Raw genomic sequence first — 26976 nt, forward strand, 5'->3', positions numbered from 1 at the left:
TTCATTCTGTTTTTGTTTTTGTTTTTGTTTTGTTTTGAGACGGAGTTTTGCTCTTGTTGCCCACCCAGGCTGGAGTGCTGTGGCGGGATCTCAGCTCACCGCAACCTCCGCCTCCTGGGTTCAAGTGATTCTTCTGCCTCAGCCTCCCAAGTAGCTGGGATTACAGGCATGCACCACCACGCCCGGCTAATTTTGTATTTTTAGTAGAGATGGGGTTTCTCCATGTTGGTCAGGCTGGTCTCGAACTCCTGACCTCAGGCAATCCACCTGGCTCAGCCTCCCAAAGTGCTGGGATTACAGGTGTGAGCCACTGCACCCGACTATTCATTCTGGTTTTTTTGTACCCATTAACCATCCCTATTTCTCCCCCACCACCTCACTACCCTACCCAGCATCTGGCAACTATCCTTTACTCTCTATTTCCATGAGTTCAATTGTTTTAATTTTTAGCTTCCACAAATGAGTGAGATCGTGTGAAGTTCGTCTTTCTGTTCCTGGCTTATTTCACCTAACACAGTGTTCTCCAGTTTCATCCATGTTGTTGCAAATGGCAGGATCTCATTCTTTTTTTATGGCTGAATAGTACTCCATTGTGTTTATGTACATTTTCATTATCCATTCATTTGTTGGTGGACAGTAAGGTTCCTTCCAAATCTTGATTATAAGTAGTGCTGCAATACATGTATACATATGTAACAAACCTGCACGTTGTGCACATGTACCCTAAAACTTAAAGTATAATAATAATAAAATTTAATGTTAATTTTATAATAATAATAAAATTTAAAGTATAATGATAATAAAATTTAATAAATAATAAAATTAATAAAATTTAAAAAAAATAAATAAATAGTGCTGCAGTAAACGTGGAAGTGCATCTATCTCTTCCTTTCTTCCTATGCTCATTTCCATTCTTTTTGGTATATAGCCAGCAGTGGGATTGCTGGATCATAAGGTAGCTCTGTATTAGTTTTTTGAGGAACCTCCAAACTGCTCCATAGTGCTTGTACTAATATTACATTCCCACCATCATTATACGAGGGTTCCTTTTTCTACACATTCTCACCAATATTTGTTATTGCCTGTCTTATAGATAAAAGCTACTTTAACTGGGATGAGATGATGTCTCGTTGTAGGTAATATCATCTGCAAACAAGCGTAGTTTGACATCTTCCTTTCCAATTTGGATGCTCTTTCTTTCTCTTGTCTGATTCCTCTAACTACAACTTCCAGTATTATTTTGAATAAAAGTGGTGACAGTGGGCATCCTTGTCATGTTTGAGATCTTAGAAGAAAGATTTTTAGTTTTTCTCCATTCAGTATGATACTAGCTACGGGTCTCTCATGTGGCTTTTATTATGTTGAGGTATGTTCGTTCTATACCCAGTGTTTTGATGGTTTGTATCATGCAGGAATGTTGAATTTTATCAGATGCTTTTTCAGCATCAATTGAAATGAACATACGGATTTTGTCTGCCATTCTGTTGATGTGATGTATCATTTGATCAATTTGTGTATGTTGAACCATCCTTGCATCCACGGATAAATCCCACTTGGTCATGATGAATGATTTCTTTAAGGTGTTGGTAAATTTGGTTTGCTAGTCTGGGCTCAGTGGCTCACGCCTGTAATCCCAGCACATTAGGAGGCCAAGGCAGGTGGATCACTTGAGGTCAGAAGTTTGAGACCAGCCTGGCCAACATGGTGAAACCCCATCTCTACTAAAAAAAATACAAAAATTAGCGGGCGAGGTGTCAGGTGCCCGTAATCCCAGCTACTCGGGAGGCTAAGGCAGGAGAGTTGCTTGAACTTGGGAGGTGGAGCTTGCAGTGAGCCAAGATCATGCCACTGCATTGCAGCCTGGGCAACAGAGTGATACTCTGTCTCAAAAAACAAAAACAAAACAAAACAAAAATTTGGTTTGCTAGTATTTTGTTGAGGATTTTTGCATCAATATTCATCAGTGATATTGGCCTGTAGTTTTCTTTTTAAAATGTGTCTTTGTCTGCTTTTGGTATTAGGGCAATACTGGCCTCATAGAATGAGTTTGGAAGTATTCCCTCCTCCTCTATTTTTCAGACAGTTTGAGTAGAATTGATATTAGTTCTACTTGAAATATTTGGTAGGATTCAGCAGTGAAGCCATCAGGTGCCAGGCTTTTCTTTGTTGGGAGAAATTTTATTTCATTTTATTTATTTAATTAATTAATTAATTTTTTTTTGAGACGGAGTCTTGCTCTGTCACCCAGGCTGGAGTGCAGTGGCATGATCTCGGCTCACTGCAAGCTCCGCCTCCTGGGTTCACACCATTTTCCTGCCTCAGCCTCCCAAGTAGCTGGGACTACAGGCGCCCGCCACCACACCCGGCTAATTTTTTGTATTTTTAGTAGAGATGGGGTTTCACCATGTTAGCCAGGATGGTCTCTCTCCTGACCTCATGATCTGCCCACCTCTGCCTGGCAAAGTGCTGGGATTACAGGCATGAGCCACTGCACCTGTTGGGAGAAATTTTATTATGGCTTCTATCTCATTATTTGTTATTGCTTGCCTAGAAGTTACAGTCCTTGTGGCCTAGACTGCCTTTCAAGTTTATTTGGAGCCCCAGAGTACTTTAGCTTATAGTGCGAGGCTTGCTAGAACTCAAGTCCTTACCACTGGAATGGGCGATTCCCCTCTGTCTAGGGCTGGTCTAAATGCTCCCTCCATGGGCATGTGTCAGCTGAGTTCATCCTACTTTTGCTTTCTGCTGTGAAAGGGTGGTGGTGAGTTCAATGCAGTATCTCACAGTTGCTGCTCTCTCCCTCTCCCAAGCACACAGATTCTCCATGCCATACAGCTGCTGCTGGGGGATGAGGGAGGGGTAACATTGGCGATTCAAGACTATCTTTCCTACCCTCTTCAGTGCCTCTTGCAGTGACATGAAGTTAAAACCAGGTACTATGAGTGCCCACCTGATTTTTGGTTCTTATGAAGGTGTTTTTTTGTGTGTAGATAGTTGTTAAATTTGGTGTTCCTGCAGGAGGAATGATCGGTGGAAGCTTCTATTTGGCCATCTTGCTCCACTCCTCTATTTTTTATTATTTTTTTTAGAAACAGGGTCTCACTATGTTGTCCAGCCTGGTCTGCATATTTATTCTTATTCCTGACCATTTGTATTTATTCTTTTGTGAATTCAGGATAATCTTTCATAAACATCACTTTTATTGTTTTACTTTTCTATTCAAAAACTAGAGTACTGGCTGGCCGTGGTGGCTCACGCCTCTAATCCCAGCACTTTGGGAGGCTGAGGCAGGCAGATCACAAGGTCAGGAGATCAAGACCATCCTGGCTAACACGGTGAAACCCTGTTTCTACTAAAAATACAAAAACAAACTTAGCCAGGCGTGGTGGTGGATGCCTGCTGTCCCAGTACTCAGGAGGCTGAGGCGGGAGAAATGGTGTGAACCCAGGAGGCAGAGCTTGCAGTGAGCCAAGATCACGCCACTGCACTCCAGCCTGGGCGACAGAGCGAGACTCTGTCTCAAAAAAAAAACCAGAGTATCATTATTTCATACCCCTGATTTTTAAGACCCTTCATAATTTGACCCTAACCTATTTTTCTAACTTAATATTGTCCAGCAAGAGTCACTCTACTCCAATAAGAAATATTTTTTTATTCATACAACTCACTCTGTTACTTTTTTTTTTGGATTCATTTTAGCAGTGTTTTCTTCTGCCTACCCAAAATCTTGCAAGGATTCTTTTAACTCACCTTGTAATAAAATTGTAATAAAGTAGCTCAGATCATCTAGCCTTCATCAGTTTCTTCCTATTTGAATTCCCGTGGTAACTATTGTTTCTACCACTAGGTTTAGGAGCAAATTATAGACTGCCTTGTATTTCTTATCAAGCACCAGCTGTGTGCCAGGACACAGCACAGTCTTTATAGCTGTGGACAGAGCACAATCTTTGTCCTTAAGTTTATAGTATAGTAATGATGCATTTTCCAGTTATTTGCTTATTAGTGAAGATCTTCTTTTCATACACATCTGTACATATGAACCATACACATGTTTTTAGGTATATAGTTTATGGGTTTCCAACTGGATTGTAAGATCATTGAGGGCATGAACCATGTTTATACTTCTCTATTCCTTAAAACACGTAACTCAGTTCTGAGCATGTAGCCATCACTAAGTATGTACATGCTCTACTTCTGTAGTAAGAAAAGTTGGAGGCTATGGAGATACATACCTGGCCTCAAATTATAACTCAAGACCTTATGAACCAACTGTGCAACATTTGGAAGTTATGTGGCTACTCTCAGTCTATGTCCTCATAAAGTAAGTATCTGCCTCATGAGGTTGCCATGTGGGTTAAATGAGATCTATATGTAAAGCATTTAGCATAATGCCTGGTACAAAGTAAGTGCCCATTAAAGGATACCTGTTATAATAATTTGTTTAACCTCTCAAGCTAGAAATGGATTCAACATCCTTTTATTTCCCTAATCCCTTTCATTTAAGCATTTACCAAATTCTTCTCAGTTTACTTTAATTATGTTGTCAATTTAGCTCTCCTTTTAATCCTCGTTGTAACCCACCATAAGAAATACATTTTATATTGTGGCTTAGAATATACTGTTTATTTGTACATATCTGAAACAAAAGTCTTATGAAATAATATTCATTGTTACAATATGTGATACACTCTGATATTTTTTGTTCTGTCCTATGTACATTTTTTTTTTTTTTAAACCTGGTCACAGCCATTAAAACTGATTTCACAACATACAGTCTGAAACACACTGGTCTGGATTTTTAGAATCTGCAAAATTTCAACTACCACTGAACAGGATAATGTTCAAGTGAAAGTTTTCAATGAAATAGAAAACACAGAGCTTAGAGTTTATTAGGATTCCACTTTGTCTTTGTTCTCTATTAGTTATATATTGTTAGATTTACCTATGCTCAATCTGGTTTCACTGCTTAAGGTGGAAGTGTTTAGTTGGGCCTATTCCAGTGATGTTATAGAATAAGATTACTCAGCAGTTGGGGCAGAGATTTCCACCTTGCAAGGAAAGAGTTTCTTAACCATTTTATATGTGTAGTCTTTTCTTTATTTTTCTTTTTTTTTTCCTTTTTTGAGACGGAGTTTTGCTCTTGTTGCCCAGGCTGGAGTGCAATGGCACGATCTCGGCTCACTGCAATCTCTGCCTCCCAGGTTTAAGCAATTCTCCTGCCTCAGCCTCCCGAGTAGCTGGGATTACAGGCACCCACCATGCCCGGCTAATTTTTAGTAGAGATGGGGTTTCTCTGTGTTGGTCAGGCTGGTCTTGAACTCCTGACCTCAGGTGATCCGCCCGCCTTAGCCTCCCAAAGTGCTGGGATTATAGGCTATGAGCCACCACGCCCAGCCATGTGTATTATTTTCTTAGGACAGAAATATACATGGATATATGCATTTAAAAGTCATCAGCATCATTCTTGTAGAGGAGCCTGAAAAAACCTTTTTTTTTGTTTTGTTTTGTTTTGTTTTGTGACAGTCTTGCTCTGTCGCCCAGACTACACTGCAGTGACATGATCAAGGCTTACTGCAGCCTTGACCTCCTGAGCTTAACTGACCCTCCCACCTCAGCCCCCCAACTCGCAGGGACCACAGAAAATTCTTTATTCGGAAAATTTTAAGCATTTTTACAATGTAGGAAGAACAGTATAATGAATCCCCATTACCTAAATTCAGCTTTAGTAGTTACCAACATTATGTCAATTCCAAAGGAATTTTTAATAAAAAATTTTTAAGGGACACATAATTGCCTCCCTTAATTTACAGATAGATGATTTGTTTTTCAGAAGAAATATATCAGCCTTATTGTACTTAACTTTAGTCCTCACAACCTATTAATTTCATCTGATCCCCAAAAGAGAAGTAAATAATTACATGACACGAGGGAGCAGAGATGACATGATATCTTCTGCCTCATTTAGATTTTCCTGATGGCCTCCTAGAGCACTAGACCCTTGCTATCTTACCTGAAATAGTTCAACAGCCTCGTTACCATATCCCAACCACCCACTCCTTACCACCTGCCTTACTACCATTATACTGATCTTTAATAATGACTTGAGGAGAGGAGAATCTCATTACATTTATCCTCTGTTTAAAACTTCCTTGGGGCCAGGCCTGATGGTTCACACCTGTAATCCCACACTTTGGGAGACTGACAGGGGGATCATGTGAGACCAGGAGTTTGTGACCAGCCTGGGGAACATAGCAAGACATCATCTCTACAGAAAAGTTTAAAAAATTAACCAGACTTGATAGTACATCCCTGTAGTCCTAGCTACTCAAGAGGCTGAGGCAGGAGGATCACTTGAGCCTAGGAGTTCAAGGCTGTAGTGAGGTATGATAGTAGCTATGTAGTAATGCCACTGTACTCCAGCTTGGGCAGCAGAGCAAGACTCTGTCTCTTAAACAAACAAAAAAACCTTCCTTTGTTCTTCCTTCCCTACCTATGAAATAAAACCCCAAATCATAGATTTTCATTCATAATCTGGTTGCAGCCTATCTTTCTAGCCTTCTCTTCCACTGTCTGTTTCTTCTCTACCATTTTAAGCTTCCTGGTATTCCTAGAATACGTAACCTATTTTAGGGCTTGTACTTACTTTACAGGATCCCATTTAGATACCAACTTGTGGATGAGGCCATTTTAACTACCCTAGAAAAAAGTAGTTTCTAAGTTTTTTTTTATTTTGTGTGTGTTTGTGTATGTGTGTGATGCCACTTAACTGAGTTATATTTAGTTAGCAGTGTAGGTTTACTGCCCTCCTCACTCTCAATTAGACAGTGATCTCTTCGAGAGCAGGAATTATATCTTATTCTTGTCTCTTAAATACTTCCTTAGTGCCTGCACGTAGTAGGCATCCAATAATGGTTTGTTGAATGAATGTATTCACACTTCTAGAATTTTATAACCTAATTTTAAAACAGGTTCTCTCCAGACAGGAAGAGTTAATCAAAGTTTGGTTTTGTATATTTTTCTCTCCCCTCCTTGAGGACTTTTGTTAAAATTTCTAAAGAGAGTCTAGTTCTATAGTTTTTTTCCTTAGGGGAAAATACACTTTGGTAAACTAGTATAGCATATCCATCTTCAATAATCCTATAGTTAAGGTAAGTGAAATCTACTTTCAGTATAATTTTTTTTTTGTTGAACAATATTGTTTTATTTTGTGAGTTAGAATAGATTTGTGCTATACAGCTTATAGTAGCCTTGACTAATTTTTGATATATTTCAGCTCATGGAATGCTGTGTAAATGCCCTGGTGACATCATTTAAAGAGACTATCTTAGCTGAGTGCCAAGGCATGATCAAGAGAAATGAAACTGAAAGTAGGTAAAACATCACATAAAGTTATCATAATCTTCTAAGAGGGTATCTTTGAAACAAATCACTTACTAAGTTGCTCTTAGTTAATTCTTTTCCACATAGGTATATGTGGAACTGTTAGAGTGAACTATACTTAAGGAAATAGATAAAATATTTAACACAGAGGCACTGCTAAGAGTATATAAACTTAAATTTTAAGCATTTTCCCTCTTAGCTATCAACATCTGTGTATGTGTATGGTGAATTTCTACTTTTTTCTCAAAAGCAAGACACTGCTTTTAAAGGCCAGTTTAAACTGGAAACATATGTTATAGATTAGAACCAGGTATTTGACTTTTGTGTGGAACCTTGTGATGAATCTTTTTAGAATGTAATAAAACACTCCCTGTTAATAGTCATCTCTGTCCCCCAAAATACTTTATAAGATTTCTAAAGGATTTTTTTATTACTTCAATGTTTTCTTAAAAAGATGTGTTTTGAGAGGTAGCAAGTATATAACAAACTAAAAAAAAAAATTGTACATATACCTACTACCCCAGTAAAACTGCTTTTAACATTTTTTTGCTTTTGTTTTTTAAATAACGTACTTCTACTGAGTTTCCAGGTTTTATTATATCTAACTGCAAGGTCCTGTTTAATCTCTAGTTGCATTTAAAGTGCATATTTCAATTCACTTAAGTTCATACACTTTTTAGGAGTAATTCAGTAGTAAAAAGCAAGCTGCTTTATTGGCGTAAACAAAATACTTGTATTCTGTGTGCCAGTCTAATTAGAGTTATGTCTGATCTATGTTGCACTCTTTTCAAAAGGATTTATTTAGTGGTAATCAGTACCGTGAGGTAGGGTTTTTGTGAAGGTCAATAAAATGGCATAACATGAAAAAGTGCTTTGTAAATTGAAAAATTATTTATGAATACAGTTTTATATTCTAATCTCTAATATAGTTGCTTTCGTAATTATTACTCATGTTTTTTACCTTTTGATGATATGGCTGTATATGTAGTATTACAACTACCTTATGAAATAAACTAATCTTGTGTGTAAATAAATATTCCTTTGCACTGAAAACCAAATGACTCACCTTTTCTTTTGAGACTGGGTCTCGCTGTGTTGCCCAACCTGGAATTCGATGGCACGATCACAATTCACTGTAGCCTTGACCTCCTGGGCTCAAGCGATCCTCCCACCTCCCAGCCCACTGAGTAGCTGGGACTACAGCCGTGTACCACCATGCCTGGCTAATTTTTGTATTTTTTGTAGAGGCAGAGCCCCACCTTGTTGCCCAGGCTGATCTCCACTGCTTCTGGCCAAATGACTGACCTTTTAAAGAAAGGAGTTGGGTTTTGCAGTATTTGATCACTTTTTTTATTTTTATTTTTTGAGACCGTCTTGCCCTGTCACCCAGGCTGAGTGCAATGGTGCAATCACGGCTCACTGCAGCCTCAGCCTCCTGGGCTTAGGCATTCCTCACACTTCAGCCTCCCAAGTATCTGGGACCAAAGACATGCACCACCACACCCAGCTAATTTTGTTTGTTTGTTTTTGTGTAACGATGGGTTTTGCCATGTTGCCCTGACTGGTCTTTTTAACTCCTGGGCTCAAATGATCCTCCCACCTTGGCCTCCCAAAGTGCTGGAGTTACAAGCGTGAACCACCACACCCAGCCTGATCACTTTTAATTCGATTTTTTTTTAAACATAATTTTTAGACTAAGTACAGTGGCTCATACCTATGATCCCAGCACTTTGAGAGACCAAGGCGAGAGGATTGTGTGAGCCCCGAAGTTTGAGACCAGCTTGGGCAACATTGGGAGACCCTGTCTCTACAAAATTACAAAAAACATTAGCCAGGCATGGTGACATGTGCCTGTGGTCCCAGCTACTCAGGAGGCTGAGATGGGAGGATTGCTTGCGCCCAAGAGGTCAAGGCTGCAGTGAGCCGTGATCGAGCCACTGTACTCCAGCTTGGGTGACAGACTGGGACCCTGTCTCAAAAACAAAAAAACAACAACAAAAAAACGAACAACTACTCCTAATGGCATTGTATCCACAGAATACTATTAACATTACAAACTTAACTAATGTTTCTCTAAACTCTTACTCTAGTAAATGAAATGATTACATGAATGTGTTCTCTCCTTCCAGAATTACATTTAATGTTTTCATTGATGGACAAAGTTCCTAATGGTATAGAGCCAATGTTGAAAGACTTGGAGGAACATATCATTAGTGCTGGCCTGGCAGATATGGTAGCAGCTGCTGAAACTATTACTACTGTAAGTTTTTTTTCAATGGCAATGATAGATATATATCAAGGCTATTTTTTAAATGTAGGATTATTGAAAATAGTGAGCGGTTACCAGAGGCTGGGGGTTGGGGGAGCAGAAGAGGTTGGTTAGTGGGGTATAAAGTTATAGTTCAATAGGAAGAATAAGTTTTGGTGTTCTATTACCCATTAGGGCGGATATAGCAAGTAACAATGTAGTGTATATTTCAAGATAGAAGAGATTTTTTATGTTGTTACCACAAAGAAATTATAAATGTTTGAAGTGATGGATATAGTAGTTACCCCAATTTGATCATTATAGTATATACATGCATTGAAATATAACATTGTACCCCATAATATGTACCATTATGTGTTGATTACAAATAAAAACATTAAATTTTTAAAAATACAGAATTGAAAATTGAAAATAGTAATTGAAATTACTATTTTCTCTGTAAAACAGGGAGCTGGGCAAGGTGGCTCACGCCTGTAATCCCAGCACTTTGGGAGGCCGAGGTGGGCAGATCACAAGGTCAGGAGATCGAGACTATCCTGGCTAACATGGTGAAACCCCTCTCTACTAAAAATACAAAAAAAATAGCCAGGCGGGGTGGCGGGCGCCTATAGTCCCAGCTACTTGGGAGGGTGAGGCAGGAGAATGGCGTGAACCCAGGAAGTGGAGCTTGCAGTGAGCCGAGAAGGTGCCACTGCACTCCAGCCTGGGCGACAGATCGAGACTCCGTCTCAAAAAAAAAAAAAGGAAGAAAGAAAAAAGAAGTGGCAAAACAGTAATATTGGAACACCTTTTAGTTTTATTTTTAAGAAAAAATATCCCCAGTTTTAAATGAGTTTTATTAAAATTATGTTTATTTTCTCATTTTTTTGTGTTATTCTTTTTCTTTTAAAAACTTAATGTAAAACCTTTTGTTTCTAGGACTCTGAGAAATACGTTGAGCAGTTACTTACACTATTTAATAGATTTAGTAAACTCGTCAAAGAAGCTTTTCAAGATGATCCACGATTTCTTACTGCAAGAGATAAGGTATATATTCCTATATATATAAAAAACACTTTTAAAAGTTTTATTCTCATAATTTACTTCTAATAATCAATTTGCATTATTTTTCTATTAATTATAAACTTAAAAACCTAGCAACTGTTATTTTTCATCAGTGGAGAACAACTATATTCGTTTTGTCTTGGCTGTAAGCATTTGTTAAACATTAGATAGCCTTGTGAATTAGAATTTAGTTAGAAAGTTGCTTTTTTCTCATTTTTCCAAGAATGTTTTTCTGTTTTTGAATATTACTGATCTATTGAATTCCTATTCATCCTTCCATTAAGACCCAGCTCAAAGAATACTTCCCCTGGAGCTTCCTTGATGTCCTGCCTCCCTCCACAGCTCATCACCAGCAGAGTTGATTCCTCCATCCTCCGTCCTTTCATGGGACTCCTTCGGGAGTTATGTTATACTTATCCTTGTTTCCCAGGGAAGCATTTGTATTGCATACCATCTTTTTCCATCCTCACTAGTATAGGATAATGATAATAAAACACCATACTGTCCTTAGCATTGTATCTTTTTTAGTGTAATAAACCTATAACAAGAAATTGCTGTTAGTTTTTTCTCTTCTTTGACTACCTTTCGTTACTTCCCAAGTTTGAATGATTCTAAAAAGACAACTTTCTCCATTCTCCAGTAGGATTTTTTTCTCACTCTTTTTGTCTATTTTAATTTTTTTTTTTTTTTTTTTTTGAGACTGAGTTTCGCTCTTGTTGCCCAGGCTTGAGTGCAATGGCATGATCTTGGCTCACTGCAACTTCTGCCTCCCAGGTTCAAGCGATTCTCCTGCCTCAGCCTCTCGAGTAGCTGGGATTACAGGGACCAACCACCATGCCCGGCTAATTTTTGTATTTTTACTACAGACGGGGTTTCACTGTGTTGGCCAGGCTGGTCTCGAACTCCTGACCTCAGGTGATGGGCCCGCCTCGGCCTCCCAAAGTGCTGGGATTACAGGCCTGAGCTACTGTGCCCAGACTCTTTTTGTCTATTTTAAAACAAGTAAATAGGCCAGGTGCAGTGGCTCACGCCTGTAACCAGCACTTTGGGAGGCCAGGGCGGGTGGATCACCTGAGGTCGGGAGTTCGAGATCAGCCTGATCAACATGGAGAAACCCCATCTCTACTAAAAATACGAAAAATTAGCTGGACGTGGTGGTACATGCGTGTAATTCCAGCTACTTAGGAGACTGAGGCAGGAGAATTGCTTGAACCCAGGAGGTGGAGGTTGTGGTGAGCTGAGATCGTGCCATTGCACTCCAGCCTGGGCAACAAGAGCGAAACTCTGTCTCAAAAAATAAATAAATAAAAATAAAACAAATAAGTAGGTAAAGTAGGAAAGGAGTTAAGGGAGTATAGACATGGTGGGCGTGGTGTGAAGTCTTAAATTGAGTAGCCTGCAAAGGCTTCATAGGAAGCCAGATCATGTAAGACTCTGAGCCATGGGAAGGAGTTAGTTTTTACTGTGAGTAGGATGGGAAGTCATTTAAAAATTTTAAACAGAATGGTAGAATGTGATTTATGTATTAACAGGATCATTCTGGCTGTTGTAAAAAATATACTGAAGGGAAGAAGGAAGAAAGAATACCAGTTAAGAACTTATTTAAATAATTCAATTAAGTGATGATGGAGGCTTGTCCCAGAGTGATGGTAGAGGTGGTCAAAAGTAGTTCGATAATTTTTTTTTTTTTTAATGCAAGTAGCTTATTTGGGAAATGCAGGGACGATAGCGTGGCGTATTAGTAAGTCAGATCTACAGTGAGCTACTTGAACTTAATTCTGCAAGGAAACTTATTTAAAACCCTGCTCAAAATTACCTCACCTATCAAGTGTTGAGTTCTTGAAGTTTCCTGCCTGCCACTTGCATAGGCAACACATATTTCTGCAGTTTTAGGAAAAAACAGCTCTTTGGGTGCATGTGCAGATACTAATAGTGGGAAAAGTATAAGGGATGTGGGAAGGTTTGACAGCATTTGTTACACCAGGTATGTGGCTTGGAATTGGAAAATAAAAATGACAGCAGGCTCTAGAAGTGACTTGTCAGGGAAGTTCGCTGTGTCGCCCAGTCTGGAGTGCAGTGGTGCAATCATAGCTGACTGCAGCCTTGAACTCCTGGGCTCAAGCAATCCTCCCGCCTCAGCCACCTGAGTTTCTGGGACTGTGAGCACATACCACCACACCTGGCTAGGTTTTTAAAGTTTTTCTATAGAGACAACATCTAGCTATGTTGTTTGGGCTGGTCTTGAACTCCTGCCTTAGCCTTCCAAAGTTCTGGGATTATAGACGTGAGCCACCACCCCTGGCCCCCTTTCCCTTTAAATCATGTTCTTTGAGAACTCTTCACCCGCACTGATGTTGTCTCAGCCCTGTCATCTCACTGGTGAAGGAAATAAAGATATCCACCATCTGACATAGTTACTCATTTTCTTGTTTTGTTTTGTTTTTGTGGCAAGAGCACCCAAAGTCTACTTAGCATGAATCCAATATACAGTATAATTTGAATTTGTTTTGTTTTATTTATTTATTTATTTTGAGACAGAGTCTTGCTCTGTCACCCAGGCTGGAGAGAGTGCAGTGGCACAACATGGCTCACTGGAGCTTCGACCCCTCTGGGCTCAGGTGATCTTCCCACCTCAGCCTCCCGAGTAGCTGGGACTACAGGCATGCACCACTATGTTTGGCTAATTTGTAATTTTTTTTGTAGAGATGAGTTCTCAGTATGTTGCCCAGGCTGTTCTTGAACTCCTGGGCTCAAGCGATCCATCCACCACAGCCTCCCAAAGTGCTGGGATTACAGGCATGAGCCACCATGCCCAGCCCAGTATAATTTTACTACCTATAGTTCTCATGCTGTACATTAGCTCTCTAGACTTTTTCCATCTTGTGTGTCTGCTACTTTGTATCATGTCACCTACATTTCCTTGTTTCTTTCCCACCCATTTTGCCACTGGTACTACTCTTTCATTCCTCTTTCTGTATATTTGAATTTTTTTTAGGTTCTACCTATAAGTGAGATCATGCAGTATTTTTCTTCCTGTGTCTGGCTTATTTTTAAGGTCTTCCAGGCTTCCGTCATATATATGTACCAGTTTCTTTATCCATTGATGGACGCTGAGGTTGTGTCCATATTTTTGCTATTGTTAATAATGCAGTGAATGTGGGAGTGCAGTTATCTTTGTGAAGTGGTGATTTCATTTCCTTTGGGTATATGCCTAGAAGAGGGATTGCTGGGATTATGATTACATTATGAAGATAGACTATTCAGGATTTGCTATTGAATCAGAAGTAGAATGTGATAGAGACTAGTCAGGGATGACACTCAGATTCGTGTTCTGATCAATTAGAAGGATATGTTCACTGCGATAGGGAAGACTGTAAGAGAAATAGTTTTTGGAGAGATGGTTGCAGAGAGATCAGAAACTCGGTATTGAATAAGTTAACTTTGAAATATCTGTTAAACATCCATATGGTAATGTTGAGTCTGGAGCTTAAGAGAAAGAATGGAGCTGGAAAAATATGTTTGGCAGCTTCAGCATATAAGTGGTTTTTAAAGCACTGACACAGGCTCTAATCACCAAAGTAATGATTGGAGATAGAAAAGAGGACAGATCCAAGGATTGGCCTAGGGCATTCTGATATTTCATTGTTAGAAAAATGAGGAGTCGTCTTTCATGAGAAGGGAGAAATGATCCAAGAGAATGTTATGTGCTAGAAGACAAGTGAAAAAAGTACTTTCAGGAGGAGGGTGTGATCCGCTGTTTTTAAATGCTGATAATAAATAAGATGGAGATAAACCATTGTCTTCAGCAACATGGAGGTTGCCAGTGACTTTAACAAGAACAGTTGTGTAGGCTGGGTGTGGTGGCTTACGCCTGTAATCCAGCACTTTGAGAGGCTGAGACAGGTGGATCACTTGAGGTCAGGAGTCAACATGATGAAACCCTGTCTCTATTAAAAATACAAAAATTAGCCAGGCACGGTGGTGCGCACCTGTAATTCCAGCTACTCAGGAGGCTGAGGCAGGAGAATCGCTTGAACCCAGGAGGTGGTGGTTGCAGTGATCTGAGATCAGCACCACTGCACTGCAGCCTGGGCAACGAGTGAAACTCTGTCTCCAAAAAAAAAAAAAGAAAAAAAATCTCACTTGAGGCCAGGCATGGTGGCTCACCCCTGTAATCCCAGCACTTTGGGAGACCAAGGCAGGCAGATCACCTGAGGTGAGGAGTTTGAGACCAGCCTGGCCAACATGGTGAAACTCCGTCTCTACTAAAAATACAAAAGTTAGCCTGATGTAGTGGTGGGCACCTATAATCCCAGCTACCCAGGAGGCCAGCTAAGACAGGAGAATCACTTGAACCCAGGAGGCGGAGGTTGCAGTGAGTGGAGATCATGCCACTGCACTCCAGCCTGGTCGACAGAGTGAGACTTCATCTCAAAAAAACAAAACCAAACCAACAACAACAAAAAAACCTCACTTGAGAATATTGATAATTATAATATGACAAAGAACTTGCTAAAGTCTTTGACTAGGCAAATTCTGTTTGGCCAGATATACCATTAGAAATAAAAACTAACATATTTTTATGTGTTTTGGGATGTATAAAAATTTATCTGTATATTTTCAATATTAAAAATATTTTATTCCAAATTATTTTTTGCAGGCGTATAAAGCAGTTGTTAATGATGCTACCATATTTAAACTTGAATTACCTTTGAAGCAGAAGGGGTAAGTTTTTTAAAACCATACTTTAAAAATACTTAAATTTTCTTTAGTGTAATAGGGGTTAACTAGGTATACAAAGTACCCTGTTAGGTTTATTTTTGTTATTGTTAGTTTTGTGACTTTTGCAGCTTTTGGCTATTAAAGTTCATTTATAATTTTTTATTAAATTATTTTACAATACAAAAATTGACTTTATTTTTTCAGGTAAAAAAAAAATATTCCTAATCTTTTAGGATCTCTACTTGTTTTTCCCTCATTAGTCACTAAAAGTATTCTATTACCCATAGAAGCAGAGAAAATGACTCAATTTACCATAATGTTATAAAAAGAACTCAGTTTAAATGTAAATTTTCCTATTACCGTTTTAAAAAATTGTTCTATAATTGGTAAGATGAATATGCCTGTGCTAAGCCTAGCTTATAGAAAATCTGACAACTGGAATCTGAGCTAGTTATAGCACTTTCAGAGTAGTACTAAATAGCAATAAAGGTTAGTTAAAAAAAGTCTTTTGATGTGCTTCTAGCTAAGAATTACCATTTTAAAGAAATTTTATATATAATGCTAAAATATTTGAAAAATACTGAAAAATAACGTTTCTTAAGAAGGAAAAATAATCAGGTATTTTTCATTTAGTGTTTTCATTTTGTCTTTTCTGAGCAGTGTATGTTGCTTGAGTAATATTACAGTGGAAGACATCTGAGTCATACCATATTATAATATTGATATATTTTAGAAGGGAATATGTTCTCTTTTATAAACTGTGAAATATGTGAAACATATAGCACTGCATCTTGGCCATCTCTTCACATGAGTAGATAGATCTTCTTCTCTTTCACCCTAGCATTTTTTGTATTATTTATTAATTTTAATTTATTTATTTATTCGAGACAGGGTCTCACTCTGTCACCCAGGCTGGAGTGCAGTGGTACGACCTCAGCTCACTGCAACCTTTACCTCCCGGATTCAAGCAATTCTTCTGCCTCAGCCTCCCGAGTAGCTGGGATTACAGGCACACACCACCATGCCTGGCTAATTTTTTTGTATTTTTAATGGAGACGGGGTTTCGCCATATTGGCCAGGCTGGTCTTGAACTCCTGACCTCAAGTGATCCGCCCACCTCAGCCTCCCAAAGTGCTGGGATTACAGGCGTGAGCCACCGCACCCAGTCCCAAGCATTTTTTTTAATGAAAATGTTCAAACTTACAATAGAGTTACTATGGTTGCTTTATCAAATATGTTATCTCCTTATATACATTCGTCAGTCAACTTTTTAAGTGTATTTCTAAAGAAGTTGCAGGCATCAGTAACCTTTAGTCCCTAAACACTTCAGCATACAGTCATTTATTGAATTTAATGTTTATGTTTTTAGGCAAAATTTATATACTGTCCCATGCATAAATCTTAAGTGTACATTTGAGTCAGATTTGACAAATGCCTATACCCCTATTAACATGTATGATGTCTTTATCATCGTACAAAGTTACTTCATGTCTATTCCCAGTCGGTCCCACCCCACCTCCTTCCAGAGGCATCTGCTGTCCTGATTAATTCCCTCAATATAGATTAGTTTTGCCTAATCTAGGACTTTGTATAAATAGGATCATACACTGTGTACTTCTTGTGTAAAGCTTCTTTCATTCTGCATTGTGTTTTTGAAATTCTTTTATGTTTTGGCATGTAACAGTAGTTTGCTTTCCAAAGTGGTTATTCTCTTTTACACTTCCACCAATAGAGTATGAGAGTACCAGCTGACCCTCATTCTCACCAATGTTTAGTGTTCTTTTAACTTTAGTCATTTGGGATGTATGTAGTAGTATCTTAATGTTTTAATTCCCGTCTCCCTCATGACTCTTGATGTTGAGCAATTTTTCATCTTTTTTTTTTTTTTTTCCGGTATTCGTATATTTTCCTTTATGAAGGGTGATCATAGCTCACTGCAGCCTCCACCTCCTGGGCTTAAGCAGTCCTCCTGGTTCAGCCTCCTGAGTAGCTGGGACTATAAGCACACACCACCATACTTTACTAATTTCTTTTAGAGATGAGGTCTTGCTGCGTTGCTCAGGCTGGTGTCGAACTCCTGGCCTCAAGAGATGCTCCTGCCTCAGCCTCCCAAAGTGTTGAGCTTACAGGCATGAGCTACCATGCCCAGGCCTTTTGCCCATTTTTTTTGGTTGTTTGAGACGGGGCCTTGCTCTATCTCCAGGCTGGAGTGCAGTGGTCTGATCTTGTCTTACTGCAACATCCACCTCGTGGGTTCAAGTGATTCTCTTGCCTCAGCCTCCTGAGTAGCTGGGACTACAGGTGTGTGCCACCACGCCCAGCTAATTTTTGTATTTTTAGTAGAGATGGAGTTTCACCATGTTGACCAGGATGGTCTCAATCTCTTGACCTCGTGATTTGCCCGCCTCGGCATCCCAAAGTGCTGGGATTACAGGCATGAGCCACCATGCCTGGCCCTTTTGGCCATTTTTAATTGGATTCTTTCTCTTTGTTGTTGAGTTGTAAGAGTTCTTTATATATTCTGGTACTGGATCCGTATCAGATAGATGATGTGCTAATATTTTCTCCCATTCTGTAAGTTGTCTTTTCATTTTCTTGATACTATCCTTTGATGCACAAAAGCTTTTAATTTTGATTAAGTTCAGTTTACCTATTTTTTTCTTTTGTTGCTTTTGCTTTTGGTTTGGTTTCATATTTAGATCATGAAGATTTATCATTATTTATTTATTTATTTATTTATTTATTTATTTATTTGAGAGTTTTATAGGGCCGGGCACAGTGGCTCACGCCTGTAATCCCAGCACTTTGGGAGGCCAAAGCGGGTGGATCACTTGAGGTCAGGAGTTCAAGACCAGCCTGGCCAAGATGGTGAAACCCTGTCTCTACTAAAAATACAACAAATTAGCCAGGCGTGGTGGCTCATGCCTGTGATCCCAGCTACTTGGGAGGCTGAGACAGGAGAATCGTCAGAATCTGGGAGGTGGAGGTCGCAGTGAGCCGAGATCGTGCCATTACACTCCAGCCTGGGTGACAGAGTGAGACTTCGTCTCAACAACAACAACAAGAAAGAGTTTTATAGTTTTGACTTTTACATTTAAGTCATTGATCCATTTTGAGTTAGCTTTTGTATATGGTGTGAGATACAGCTCTAACTTCATATTTTTGCATGTGGATACCCAATTGTTCCAGCATTCATTGAACAGTCTTTTCTCCATTATCAAAAATCGGTTGGCTGCCAGGCGTGGTGGCTCACACCTGTAATCCCAGCACTTAGGGAGGCCGAGGCGGGCAGATCACAAGGTCAGGAGATCGAGACCATCCTGGCTAACATGGTGAAACCCTGTCTCTACTAAAAATACAAAAAATTAGCCAGGCGTGGTGGCGGGCACCTGTAGTCCCAGCTACTCGGGAGGCTGAGGCAGGAGAATGGTGTGAACCTGGGAGGCAGAGCTTGCAGTGAGCTGAGATGGCGCTACTGCACTCCAGCCTGGGTGAGAGTGCGAGTCTCCGTCTCAAGAAAAAAATCAGTTGGCTATGATGTATGTGTTTATTTTTGAATGCTTAGTTCAGTTCTATTGGTTTATATATTTGTCCTTATGCTGGTGCCACATCGTTGTGATTTACTGTAGCCTTGCGATAAGCTTTAAAAGCAAGATGTGTGCATGTTTCAAGTTGGTTCTTTTTCAAGATCATTCTGGCTATTTGGGTTCCCTTCTAATTCCATATGAATTTGAGAATCAGCTTTTCCATTTTTGTGAAAAAGACCTTTGGAATTTTGATAGGAAATGCATTGAATTGTATTAATGTTATGTCTCCCAATTATGAAAATGGAATTTCTTTTTATTTGTTTTTTGTTTTTCTTTCAGCAGTGTTTTACAGCTTTCAGTGTACAAGTCTTCCACATTCTTGGTTAAATTTATTCCTTGGTATTTTCTTTGGATGCTGTTGTAAATTGAATTGCTCTTCCTTCCTCCCTCTTTCCTTTCTTTTCCTTCCCCTTCCCCTTCCCTCCCTTTCCCTTCCCCTTCCTTCTTCTCTCTTTCTTTCTGTTTTTTTTTTTTTAAGACAGGGTCCACTGTGTCACCGAGGCTGGAGTGCAGTGGCGCAATCATGGCTCACTGCAGTGTTGCCCTCCTGAGCTCGAGTAATCCTCCCACCTCAGCCACCTGAGTAGCTAGGACCACAGGTTCAGGCCACCACACCTGGCTATATTATTTTTTGTAGAGACAGTCTCTCACTGTGTTGACCAGGCTGGTCTTGAACTCCTGGGCTCAAGTGGTTCTCCCACCTTAGCCCCTCAAAGTGCTAGGATTACGGGCAGGAGCTACCATGCCCAGCCTGGAATTGTTTTCTTAATTTTCTTCTGGATTGTTCCTTGCTGGTGTATAAAAACACAACTGATTTTTTTTTCTGTTTCTTTTTTTTCAGACAGGGTTTCACTCTGTCACCTAGGCTGGAATGCAATGGCATGATCACAGCTCACTGCAGCCTTCGCCTCCTGGGCTCAAGCCTCCACCTTCTGAGTACCTGGGACTAAGGGCCATACCACCATGCCCGGCTAATTTTTTTTTTTGAGACAGGGTCTTGCTGTGTTGCCCAGTCTGGTCTTGAATTCCTGGGTTCAAGTGAGCCTCCTGCCTCTGCCTCTCAAAGTGCCAGAATTACAGGCATGAGCTACCATGCCCAACCACAAATAATTTTTATGTGTTGATTTTGTACTTTGCAGCTTTCCTCAGTTTATTTATTGGCTCAGATACCTTTTTTGTAGATTCTTTCAGCTTTTCTGTATATAAGATCATGACATCTGCAAATAGAAATACTTTTACTTCTTCCTTTCCAGTTTGGTTCTATTTTCTTTTCTCTGACTAATTGCTCTGACCGGAACGTCTACTACAGTAACAAATGGCAGGGGTGAATTCAGGCATCCTTGTCTTATTCCTGATTTTAGGGTGCTCACTCTTAGTCTTTTGCCATTATATTGTTTTATGTTGGTTTTCCATAACCTCACTATGCTGAATAGCAGTTTGGCACTCTGTCTGGTAGATATACTATAGCTTATTTAACTGGTCCTTTACTGCTGCATTAAGTAGTTTCCGATGTGTTGCTATTACTGTTAGTGCTACAGAGGATAATATTGTACATTGAATATTTGTGAATCTTTATCTACAAGATAGAGTCCCAGAAGTGAGGATTGCTGGGTTTCTCTTAGTTTTCTGATTCTAAGGTGACTATGTCCTACTTTTAGCTCCACATTAAAGTAGAACATTTCTAGGCTGGGTGCCATGGCTCATGCCTGTCATCTCAGCACTTTGGTAAGCCAAGGTGGGAGGATTGTTTAAGGCCACGAGTTTAAGACCAGTCAGGGCAATGTAGTGAGACCCATCTCTACAAAATGTTTTAAAAATTAGACGAGCATGATGGTGCGTGCCTGTAGTCCTAGCTATTCAGGAGGATTGTTTGAACCCAGGAGGTCAAGGCTGCAGTGAGCTATGATGGCACCACTGTACTCCAGTCTGGGCAACAGAGTGATACCCTGTCTCAAAGTAGAAAATTTCTGTGGAGTAGAGTAAGTATCATTAGCTGATCCAGGCAGTAGAATAGGTGGTGTGGCTATTGGAGGTGTGGAGGAGGTGATGTTCTAGAACAAGCTTGTCCAACCCTGCGGGCTGCATGCGGCCCAGGACGGCTTTGAACGTGGCCCAACACACACATTTGTAAACTTCCGTAAAACATTATGAGATTTTTTGGCGATTTTTTTTCTTTAGCTCATCATCTGTCATTAGTGTTAGTGTATTTTATGTATGGCCCAAGACAGTCCTTCTTCCAGTGTGGCCCAGGGAAGCCAAAAGATTGGACACCCCTGCTTTAGAAGAATAAACTGATAGTAGCATCCAAGTTATTTGGGAGACTTGCTTCTGAGGAGGAGTGGAGTAGTTTGTGGTAGACCAGTGCTGCTGCTGAGAACAACTAGAAAATCAGGTAAATGTAAAAAATAGTAATTTCATGTTATTTAAGAGCTATAGAAACAGCTATGACGAAGGATTGAAATGTACAGAAATGCCAGATAAACCTTTCAGAGGTTACTTGAGGATTTGTAACTGTGTTTCCCTAAGGAGACGCAGCAGCTGAGAATGTAGTTTTGGCCTAGGCTAAGCAATACTGCTGGGGGGCAGTAGATGTTTTGGTGGTCACACAGGACTGGAGTAACAAAACCCATTGGACACTGAATTGAAAGTCCAGGAGGGACATATCTTCGATTCAGTGGCTAACCCTGGAGATGGACTGATTCCCTTTCATAGCAAAGGATGAACCCATTCTTAATGCAAGATAACATCATCTTGTTCTTGTGTGATTCTTATATATACAGTGTCCAGTATTCAGTACAACATTACTAGTCCTATGAAGACAGATAAATTAATGACTTAACTAAAAGAAAAATCATTTTAGAAGCGATCTCAGGTGATCCTGATGTTGGAGTTAGCACATAAGGACTTTAATTAATTAAGATTAATAGCTTAACCACAATGAGCTATCACTTCATACCCAGTAGGATGACTAAAATAAAAAGGACAGATATAACACGTGTTGGTAAGGATATGGAAAAATTGGAATCATATTGTTGGTGGCACAGCTGCTGTGAAAACAGTTTGGTTGTTCCTCAAGAAGTTCAACATAGGCTGGTCCAAGTGCAGTGGTGTTTACAACTAATTAATCACAACCATTTACAGATGTAGTTGTTCCTTCTCCACTCCCACTGCTTCACTTGACTAGCCTTTCAAAACAAACAAAAGAAGGTCAACAGAGTTGCTGTATGGCCCAACTGTTCTACTCTGAGGTGTATACCAAAGAGAAATGAAAACATACTTTCATTCAGAAACATGCTCATAAATGTTCATAGTAGAGTGGCATTACTCTTAATAGTCAAAAAGTGTAAACAACCCAAATATCCATTAGTTGCATAGATAAGCAAAGTATGCTGTATCCATACAGTGGAATATTATTCAGTTCTAAGAAATGAATTATTATTCTGCTATATGCTACAAGGTAGATGAACCTTGAAAACATGGTGATTCAAATAAGCCAGACACATAAGGACAAATTTTGCATGAATATGGTTGTATGAGGTATCAAGAACAGGGAAATCCATTGAGACAAAAAGTAGAATAAAAGTTACCAGGGGATGGGGAAGGGGGGGATGGGAAGTTACTGTTCCATGTATACAAGATTTCTGTTTGGGATAATGAAGAAGTTCTAGAAATAGATAGCGGTGATGTTTGTACAGCATTGTGAATGTACTTAATGCCACTAAATTTTACACTTAAAAATTATTAAAATGATAAATCTTTTTTACTCTTAGTAAAAGATATGTGTTAAAAAAGGAATGAACTACTGGTACATGCTGTGACACATGGATGAATCTTGAAAACTTGATGCTAAGTAAAAGAAGTGGGTCACAAAATACCACTTATTGTATGATAACATTTATCTGAGATACCCAGAATCAGCACATCCATAGAGTAGACTAGATGTTGCCCAGGCCTGGGAGGTGAGAGGAGGATAGCTAGAGAATGGGATTTGACTGCTGGCAGGTGTGGGGTTTCTTTTTGGGGTAATGAAAGTGTTCTAAAATTTTATTATGGTGATGATTACGCAACCCTCTGAATATACTTTAAAAGCACTGAATTGTACATTTTAAGTGAGTGAATTGTATGGTTTGCGAATTATATATCAGTAATTATTAATAAGCTTAGATAATAAATAGCAATGAAGATATAATACATATTAATGGATAGATGGAAATTGTTATCTGAGGAAAGAAAGTGTCTAAAACCATATATAATTGGAGTCATAGAGCATAGAAAAGAGGGTATTAACCAATATTTGAAATGGTATTGACTAAAATTTTCCAAAATTGATTTAAGATTTAAGGGTGTCTGTGAATCCCAAGTGGGATAAATACAAATTAAACCATTCCTAGGTACATCATAGTAAAACAGCTTACAACTGAAAACAATAATAAAACTTTTAAAACAGCCACGGGGGAAAAATAACACACTACCTTCAAAGTAACAATATAAGACTAATAGCTAGCTTGTAATCCCAGCTAGTTGGGAGGCTGAGGAATGAAGACTGCTTGAGCCCAGGAGTTCAAGACCAGCCTGAGCAATGTATCTAGATGTCCATATCAAAACAAAAATAAAAACTGATAGCTGTCCTCTTGATAGGTTGAATGAAGGAGGGAGGTAGATCACTTTGATTGTTACAGTAGTTCACACCTGAGCCAGGCATTGCAAGGAGAGATGGATGGATTCTCATTAAGTTAGTGGAGTATGGCTACCTAAGGGAATACAGAAAGACTTCCCTAGAGCATGCCAGTATGGATACTTTCAAGGGAAATCCATTTCTAAATTTTCAACTTCCACATTCACTCTTTTCTAAAATTCCACCCTGTGATGGAAGTATCACAGCAGTTTTTCCTTTCTGTTTCTTTCACAATTACCCATTCCCAGTTTGCAAAGAAAGGCATACCTCTCTTGATTCTTACTGTGGTGCTTTGCCTCAGAATGTAGCAGCCTTCAGATGGCCTAAGACAGGAATATTTTGAAATACTGGTATTGATGTACATAGAATTCATTTTTAATGAGTTAGGTATCAGATCCTAGTCAGATAGTTTCTACTTCTTTGCTTTCAGCACAATTGATGTTAGCTATTATTTTTGTGTTCTCTTTTTATTTTATTTTTTTCATTCCTCACCTAACTGGTAGATGTTAGCCATTCTTTAAAGATGGATCATTAAAAATAAATTTTAATATTAGATCAGTATGGATTTTTTTGTTTTGCAAATGGCTCAGGAGGTGTTCAAATAATTGAATGATATAATAAGAAAAACATATTCTAGTCTCATCTACTTATTTATGTGAATAAGACTTCTCAGGGCAAAGACATACATTTATACAAATAAAAGAAATTATGCTGATTCCTGGATTTATAATTGGGAGGAAAAAAGTTTCATCCACCCCACTAAGAGTTGATGCATCCAGTAAAATTTTACATATGCATATATTTTATGTATGTGTATGCACGATGTAATTGTTGTTTGGATTATTTGTATACTTAAAATTTGGATAGCTCAATCCTTGGAAAACAATACTTGAATTTTATAAGCACAAGAAATTTCAAAATCTTCAATTTAAATTTATTTACATATATTTTTAGAGAAGTAGGATTAAAAAATAAATGTAAGACTTTCAAGCATGAAAATACAATATACTGCTGGGTGCAGTGGCATGCACCTGTAGTCCCAGCTACTCAGGAGGAGTCCAGCCTGGACAATATAGATAGTGAGACCTTGTCTGAATTTAAAAAATTTTTTAATTTGTGTATGTTTGTGTCTCAGTTATTTTTTAAAAAAACAATATGCTCTGTTTAAATTGTTATCAGGAGCCAGGTGCGGTGGCCCACGCGTATAATCCTAGCACTTTTTTGGGAGGCCGAGGCAGGTGGATCACCTGAGGTCAGAAGTTTGAGACCAGCCTGGCCAACATGGCAAAACCCCATCTGTGCTAAAAATTCAAAAATTAGCCGGGCATGGTGGCGGGCACCTGTAATCCCGGCTGCTCTGGAGGCTGAGGCAGGAGAATCGCTTGAACCCGAGAGGCAGAGGTTGCAGTGAGCCAAGATGGCATCATTGCACTCCAGTCTGGGGGACAAGAGCAAAACTCCATCTCAAAAAAACTAAAAAAAAATTTGTATCAGGAAAGTGAAATGGAGATACAAATTCTTTATTGCTTAGGAAGAATTCATTTATAGTTTTTTTTTTAATGCATGATGGTATATATATCATCATTATGGAATGTAGGTTATATTGGATACATTTTAAAGAGTGAAATAACAGTTTTAATATATTAATCATAAAAAGTTTTAAATGTTAACATAAATATCCAAGAATTTAACAGTTTTTCTAAAGTATTTTAACAGATTTCTGAAAAAAAATTTTAATTATCATTGCCAAGGTCAGCACTAGGGTGAGGCAAGAAGGCACCTAGAGTGCAAAATTGAAGAAGGTTCTTACTCTCAGGATTCTGCAAGTGCAGCATCAGCACTTAGGGGAACGTAAAAGTGAGTGCCTCCCTAAATTAGGCACCCTAGGATGCTTGCTTATCCTAGTTCCAAACCTGATCACTAGATTATTTAACATGAGAAATTCGCTTGTGAATCATTGACTTTAGAAAAAAATAATTGCAAACATTAATCATTTTTCCATCAACTGCTTTTAATTTGTTTTTTAGGGTGGGATTAAAAACTCAGCCTGAATCAAAATGCCCTGAGCTGCTTGCCAATTACTGTGACATGTTGCTAAGAAAAACACCATTAAGCAAAAAACTAACCTCTGAAGAGATTGAAGCAAAGCTTAAAGAAGTGGTACATGAATTTTTTGTATTTCAACTTTTAAAATTACCTTACTTTGAATTTGTGTTTTGCTTATAGGACTTTCTGTGATAGTATCAATTTAAAAATGTATTATCTGTAAAGAACTAATGTTACGAAGATTTGCAGTGCAAGACCTCTCGGGGGGTTATTTTTCTTTCTGAAAATTTTTATTCTACAGCTTCTTGAAAGGAATACCATTTAATTCCTCTCCTTTCTTGGTTATTTTTAGGAATTAAGTTCTAGCTACTAATACAGGACATATCATTCCAACAAATTTGGAATGATAGTTGACAGATTGGGAGTTTTTCACTCCTTCCTTTTTGTGAGAGTCCAAGATAGATAGCAAGGGATGAATGAGAGTAGATTAAGTAGTTGTTTTCATCTTTGTCACCCAGTTGTTAGTGTAATGATGTAAGCCCAGGAATACAAACAAGAAAAAAAATAAGATATTGGGCAAGTGTAGACAGAAAGGCCGAGAGAGATGACTAGTGTCAGAAAAAAAAGTGAAAAAGATAAGTAGAAGAGACACTTTGCAGGGGGACATTGATTTTTTTCATGTAAAGTATATCGTTGCATTTTATACAAAATCTAAAAAACTGATATTTAGACCGACTAACAATTTGGTTATAGTCTCAGTTTTGCTAACCTTTAAAGTAGTGTATCAGGACTGGGTATTTCTCAGAGATGGATAATTCAGTAGGCCTCTATCTGTATATGCTCATAAAAGTTTCTGACTTGTGACAATTGGTGGATATAGAAAGGTCTAAATTCGAGAGATGGTAAGAGTATATAAGAACTGAAAGTAACTTTATTTTTCATACAGCTCTTGGTACTTAAGTATGTACAGAACAAAGATGTTTTTATGAGGTATCATAAAGCTCATTTGACACGACGTCTTATATTAGACATCTCTGCCGATAGTGAAATTGAAGAAAACATGGTAGAGTGGCTAAGAGTAAGTAAATTTTTTTAAATATTTGGTTTTCTAATACATTACATCATTTATATGTGTGCTTAAGTAATACATTTTGGAGATATTGTTAATGTCAAAGAAGTAGGAAACATTTTATAAGAATATAGCGTCAGTTAGGCCGGGCGCACTGGCTCATACCTGTAATCCCAGCACTTTG

The 26976-nt window shown here is 38.7% G+C and overlaps 1 protein-coding gene across 6 annotated transcripts in view; it reads left to right on the forward strand.

The window, feature by feature from the left end:
* CUL5 (cullin 5) overlaps window positions 1-26976 on the forward strand; it is a 98864-nt gene that overhangs the window by 53925 nt on the left and 17963 nt on the right. For 5 of the 6 annotated variants that reach the window (NM_003478.6, XM_017018363.3, XM_005271682.3 and 2 more), the window contains 6 exons: window positions 7274-7367; window positions 9510-9640; window positions 10568-10675; window positions 15354-15418; window positions 25705-25837; window positions 26670-26801. In NM_003478.6, coding sequence (NP_003469.2) covers window positions 7274-7367; window positions 9510-9640; window positions 10568-10675; window positions 15354-15418; window positions 25705-25837; window positions 26670-26801 — 663 coding nt within the window. Of the gene's footprint in view, window positions 1-7273; window positions 7368-9509; window positions 9641-10567; window positions 10676-10977; window positions 11245-15353; window positions 15419-25704; window positions 25838-26669; window positions 26802-26976 lie in introns of those variants that run through there. The other variant, XM_011543013.3, reaches the window with a different exon arrangement.

The sequence above is a fragment of the Homo sapiens genome, chromosome 11, assembly GCF_000001405.40.
Source record: "Homo sapiens chromosome 11, GRCh38.p14 Primary Assembly".
Classification (NCBI taxonomy): domain Eukaryota; kingdom Metazoa; phylum Chordata; class Mammalia; order Primates; family Hominidae; genus Homo; species Homo sapiens.